The 6,388-nt window shown below is 34.7% G+C and overlaps 1 annotated feature.

Moving 5' to 3' along the window:
- Positions 4,942–6,141: an enhancer, noted in NCBI's record as "P300/CBP strongly-dependent group 1 enhancer chr8:127155224-127156423 (GRCh37/hg19 assembly coordinates)". NCBI's record gives its function as "activates an origin of replication core promoter dependent on BRD2, BRD4, P300/CBP, MED14 and CDK7 cofactors, with strong dependence on P300/CBP, by STARR-seq in HCT116 cells {active_cell/tissue: HCT116}" and the evidence as "EXISTENCE:reporter gene assay evidence [ECO:0000049][PMID:35650434]".

The raw sequence follows: 6,388 nt of genomic DNA, 5'->3' as shown, positions 1-6,388 counted from the left end.
CTCCAGATGCTGACAGATCTGCCTGGGCATTGAGCAGAGAAAGCCCCACTGCACCAAGATCTATGTCCAAAAAGGGGGCATGGCTAGGGCTGCTGAACCAGGTGAACAGGTGCTCTGAATGCCTGGTGATCTGCCTGAGCCTGGAGTGGAGAGGTCCTCCATTGCATCAGAGTTTCTGCACAGGAAGGGTGGGATGGCTCAGGCTGCTGATCCTGGTAAGTGGTGCTTCTAGTGCCTGGAGATTTTCGTGGGGATGAAGCAGAGTCTCCCAGCACTAAGATCTCTACGCAGGAGGGGTGGGGTGATTCAGGCTGCTTGACCAAGCAAGCAGGTACTCTGAATGCCTAGAGATCTTTCTGGAACAGAGAGAGCTCCAGTTAGCAAATGTTTTCATAGAAATAATGCAAATGAGAAGGCAGTGGAGTAGCATCTTCTATTTCCAGGAAAACTATCTTTCAAAAATGAAGACAAAATGACGACTTTTTCAGACATATAAAATCTGAATGAACTAATTTCCAACATACCTACACCAGAATAAATGTTAAAGGAAGTCTGTTATGAAAAAGAAAAATGATACCAGATGGAAATCAGGTTCCATGCAAAGAAACAAGAACACTGGGAATGGTAACTCCATAAGAAAATGTACAACATTTTTCTTATTAATGTTTAAAGGTGATGGATTCCTTAAACAGATATCATAACAATGTATTGTGGGAAGTATAACATGTCAAAAGTACAATATATTACAAAAGTGACATGAAACTAAGGGAAGGAGAAATGGAAGATACTGTCATCAAGTTCTTTTGTCATACAAAGTAGTATAATAGCACTTGGAGGTAGACTGTGGTAATTTAAATATGTATGCTTTTAAGAATGATACAGTGGACTTTTGGGGGAAAGGGTGAGAGGTGGGTGAGGGATAAAAGTCTACATATTGGATACAATGTACACTACTTAGGTGATGGGTGCACCAAAATCTCAGAAATCACCACTAAAGAACTTATTCAGGTAACCAAATACCACCTGTTCCCCCAAAACCTATTGAAATATTTTTTTTAAAATGCATCCTTTAAGTTATAAAGCATGCACTAAAATAACAACAAAAAAGTTATACTTGTTCAATGAAGAAATAAAATCGAGTGATAAAAATATTCAGTTAATCCAAAAGAAGGGAGAAAAAGAATGAGTGGAGCAAATAGAAAACAAACAGCAAGGTAATAGACCTAAACACAAAATATTAATAGCACATTAATTGTAAGTGATCCATATACTCCAATTAAAATTCAGAATATAATAGAGTGAATAAAATAGAACAATCATTTAAATTCTACTTACAAGAAACATATTTTAAATATAAAGACACAAATAGGTTAAAATTTAAAACATAGTAAAAGATAAATCATGGTAACACTAGTTTTTAAAAAAGCTGGAGTTGCTATATTAATAATAGAAAAAGTAGATTTTAGAACAAAGAACATTACCAGAGGTAAAGAAAGTCATTTTTTGTTAATAAAGTGATCAGTTCATCAACAAGATATAAAAATCCAAAAATACACAATTAATAAAAGATCTTCAAAATATAAGAAGCAAGCACTGATAGAACAGCAAAAAAAGAAAAATTCACAATTACAGTCACAGACTTCAATACTCTCCTCTCAATCATTTATTTTAAAAAGTAGAAGATAAGAACTTGAGCAACATTATCAACAAGTTTGATCTAATTGATATTTATAGAATAATTTCCTTAATAACAGCAGAATACTCATTTTCCTGAAGTGCATGTGAAACATTTACTGAAATGTACCTTATCTTGTGCATAAAACAAGCACCAATATATACCATAAATTTTAAGACTGAATGCATTCAATCATACAAATTATAATCTCTTAACATAATGGAATTAAATCAGAAATCAATAACACAAAGATATATGGAAATAATCCAAATATTAGAGAAAAAAACACATTTTTAAATAAGTTGCTGGTCAAAGATGAAATCAAAAGGGAACTTAGAAAGTATTTTATATGAATGAAATGAAATATAAAATGATAGTCTTGACCTTCAGTCTCTACATACCACCAATGCTTGCATATTTTATTTTATATCCTTAACAAAAGTAATACATTTAACTAAAATTTTGTTAAGTACTTCACACAAAATTAAGTTTAAAAGCTTAACTAACTAAATTATCAACAAATATTAAATTCTTACTATTCTGTTTATATGGTGAATTACATAAACATATGCTGCCATTTTACAAATTGCATTTCTGTGACAGGTGGCCTATAAGAAACAAATTAGAGAACATGACTCCATATCTAGAAAACCCCACAGTCTCACCTTAAAAGCTCTTCCAGCTGAAAAACAACTTCAGCAAAGTTGCAAGATGCAAAATCAATGTACAAAAATCACTAGCATTCCTATACAGCAACAGCCAAACCAAAAGCCAAATCAGAAAGGCAATCTCATTTACAGTTGGCACAAAAAGAAAAAAATACCTAGGAATACATCTAACCAGGGAGGTGAAAGATCTCTACAATGAGAATTACAAAACACTGCTCAAAGAAATCAGAGAATACATGAACAAATGGAAAAACATCCCATGCTCATGGATAGAAAGAATCAATATTATTAAAATGGCTATACTGCCCAAAGCAATTCACAGATTCAATGCTGTTTCTATCAAACTAGCAGTTATATTCTTCACAGGACTAGAAAAAAATATTTTAAAATTTAAATGGAACCAAAAAAAGAGCCCAAATAGTCAAGGCAATCCTAAGCAAAAGAAACAAAGCTGGAGGCATCATGTTACCTGACTTCAAACTGTAACACAAGGCTACAGTAACCAAAACAGCATGGTACTGGTACAAAAGCAAGCACACAGACCAATGAAACAGAATAGGGAGCTTAGAAATTAGGGTGCACATCTATGACCATCTGATTTTTGACAAGGTTGACAAAAACAAGCAATGGGGAATACACTGTCTATTCAATAAATGGGGCTGGGATAACTGGCTAGCCATATGCAGAAGATTGAAGCTGGACCCCTTACTTACATCATACACAAAAGTCAACTCAAGATGGATCAAAGACTTCAATGTAAAACCCAAAACTATAAAAACACTGGAAGACAACCTAGGCAATACCATCCTGGACATAGGAACAGGCAAAAATTTCTTGACAAAGACACCAAAAGCAATTGCAACAGAAGCAAAAATTGACATGTGGGATCTAATTAAACTTAAGAGCTTCTGCACAGCAAAAGAAAATATCAACAGAGGAAATAGCCTACAGAATGGGAGAAAATATTTGCAAACTATGCATCTGACAAAAGTCTAATATCCAGCATCTATAAGGAATTTAAATTTACAAGAGAAAAACAACCCCATTAAAAAGTAGGCAAAGGACATAAACAGACACTTCTCAAAAGATGACATGCATGAGGCCAACAAGTATATCAAAAAAAGCTCAGTATCACTTATAATTAGGGAAATGCAAATCAAAATCACAATGAGATACCATCTCACATGAGAATGGCTATGATTAAAAAGTTTAAAAGTAACAGATGCTAGTGAAGTTGTGGAGAAAAGGGAACACTATACACTGTCGGTGGGAGTATAAATTAGTTCAACCTTTGTGGAAAGCAGTATGGCAATTCCTCAAAGATCTAAAAGCAGAACTACCATTAGACTCAGCAATCCCATTACTGAGTATATACCCAGAGGAATATAAATTCTAACATAAAGATACATAACAGTCTCTAACACGACTGTTCATTGCAGCACTATCCACAATAATAAAGACATGGAATCAACCTAAATGCCCGTCAATGACAGGTCTGATAAAAAATTATGGTACATATATACCATGGAACACTATGCAGCCATAAAAAAGAACAAGATCATGTCTTCTGTGGGAACATGGATGGCGCTGGAGGCTGTTATCCTTAGCAAACTGACACAAGAACAGAAAATCAAATAATGTTCTCACTTATAAGTGGAAGCTAAATGATAAGAACTTAAAATGTAAAGAAGGAAACAACAGATACTGGTGTTTACTTGAGGCAGGAGAATGGTTGGAGGGAGAGTAGCAGAAAAGACAACAATTTGGTACTGGGTTTAATACCTGGGTTATAAAATAATATGTACAATAAACCCTCATGATATGTGTTTACCTATGTAACAAACCTTCACATGTACCCCCAAACCTAAAATAAAAGTTAAAAAAAGAAACAAATTAAATATTCTATAACAATCACAAATTCAATAAATTATCAAGTGACAGTTTCTCTCCTCTTGTTGTCTCCCTCTTTCTCTTTCTTTCTTTCTCCCTCTAATCTCAGACTTAGTTTTTGTTTAAAGAGTCAAAGGGTTTTTAGAGGTTTATTATAAAAATAACATTTTCTTCCCAGCCTTCCTTCACTCTCACCTTTCATTTTATATTCCAAAGATGCAACTACTTTCATCTGTTTTGATTGTTTCTTTTGAAATTTTTTAATATTGAGAATTTATCTATTTCTAACCACCACTCCAAAACTCCACATAGTACGCTTTCTGTCGCCCAACTCAATCCTCCTATAATAGCTATATCATAATTTGCTTCAATTAATACTTAATATTTACTTTATTTTGACTACAAACATGAGATTGCTTTTCCTTTCCTGCACAATGTTTTTCCTTTGATATTAATAATGGCCTTATTTTAAAATTGTCTTAGCTTTTAAAATATTATTTTCAATAAATTCACCACAAACAATATTGTCTGGTGTTGCTTTTAAAATTCTTTTTCTTTTATTTTTTATTTTTATTTTATTTATTTATTTTTTGAGATAGGGTATCATTCTGTTACTCAGGCTGGAGTGCAGTGGCACAATTGCAGCTCACTGCAGCCTCAGCCTACTGGGCTCAAGCAATTCTCCCACCTCTCAGCCTCTAGAATACCTGGAACCACAGGTGTGTGCCATCACATACAGCTAACTTTTGTATTTTTTGTAGAGACAGGGTTTTTCCATGTTGCCTAGGCTGGTCTCAAACTCCAGGACTCAAGCGATCCACCTGCTTCAGCCTCCCAAAGTCCTGGGATTACAGGTCCAGGCTTTCCTTTATATTTTATCTTTAGTTTTTTCTCTCCTTTCGGAAACTTTTAGAATATTAATTTAGTTTCTGGTGTTATTATTTGCATGATAATGTATGTTGATGTGGTCTATTTTCTTCCACTGTACTAGGCACTATGTGAGCTTTTGTAACCTGAAAACTAAAGACCTCCAGTCCTGATAATTTTATTTAATTATTTTAATGAATATTCCCTTCCTTACATCTACTCTGTTCTTTCTTTCTGACACTCTTGATTAATATATTAAGCCTCTTTGACAGTTCCTCTATTTATTTCCTTTCTCCCAATTTTCCATGTCTATGTCTTTTTTCTACTTTTCTGGAGATTTCATCAACTTTACCTTCCAACCTTCCTGTAGCATTTTAATCATTTTCTAACTTTCTAAGGATATTTCTTATTCCTGGGTTCTCCCTTTTTTATATTATCTCCTGTTAAATATAGTGAACTCCAAGTTTCTCTTCAAAGAATCAGTATGCCAGTATGTTCAGCTCTCTTATTCTTTGTTCTCCATTTTAAAGTTTAACTTCCTTGTTCTCTTCACCCCCTTGTCTCTAGTTTCGGTAAACAACTTTCATGCCAGTTCTAATCAGTAGTTCACATCTGTTCCCCTGGTCACCTGCTTTGACTTGAGTCACCCCTGGTCACCTGCTCCATCCTGAGTCACCCCTGGTCACCTGCTCCATCCTGAGTCACCCCTGGTCACCTTCTCTAACCTGAATCATCCTGAGTCACCTGTTCTGTAACCCCCCTTCCTACCAAAGTACTCACCCCACCACTCTGGCTAGTCGTACCCCTGCTCTCTTTAAAATAGCCTATCGGAATTAGCTTAGACTGTGCGGTCCAACCCTAGCCAATAAGTTAATGACACGCAGGAGCTACCTGCGTGAGGAATAAAAACCCCTTCCCCTCCCTTGTTCAGGTGTGCTCTTGCCATTGCTCCATCTACGAGTCACACCCTTCTAAAGAAGTAAAAATTGCCTTGCTGAGAAAATTAAATTTATGTTCAAGTGCTCTTTCTTTTATGCCACTGAAAAATTTATTTATAACATCTTCTGAACTTATTTTGCGTATACAATATGTTATTTTAGCTCTCTGGGGATATTGACAATTTTTATTTTCTTTTATTTTTGGTAGAGTTTATCTCCCTGCATAGTTTCTGTTTTCAACAGGCTTTTTTTTCTTTTTCTTTTTTTCTGTTTGCTTTTATCTCTAACTTTCATGTCAGAGACTTTTCTAAATTGCCTAAAGATTCTGTGTTTCCTATTTAGACTTAAGA

This window comes from Homo sapiens, chromosome 8, assembly GCF_000001405.40.
Source record: "Homo sapiens chromosome 8, GRCh38.p14 Primary Assembly".
In the NCBI taxonomy this organism is placed as follows: Eukaryota; Metazoa; Chordata; class Mammalia; order Primates; family Hominidae; genus Homo; species Homo sapiens.
The sequence above is the reverse complement of the archived record's forward strand: the minus strand, read 5'-3'. Positions and strand labels throughout refer to the sequence as shown.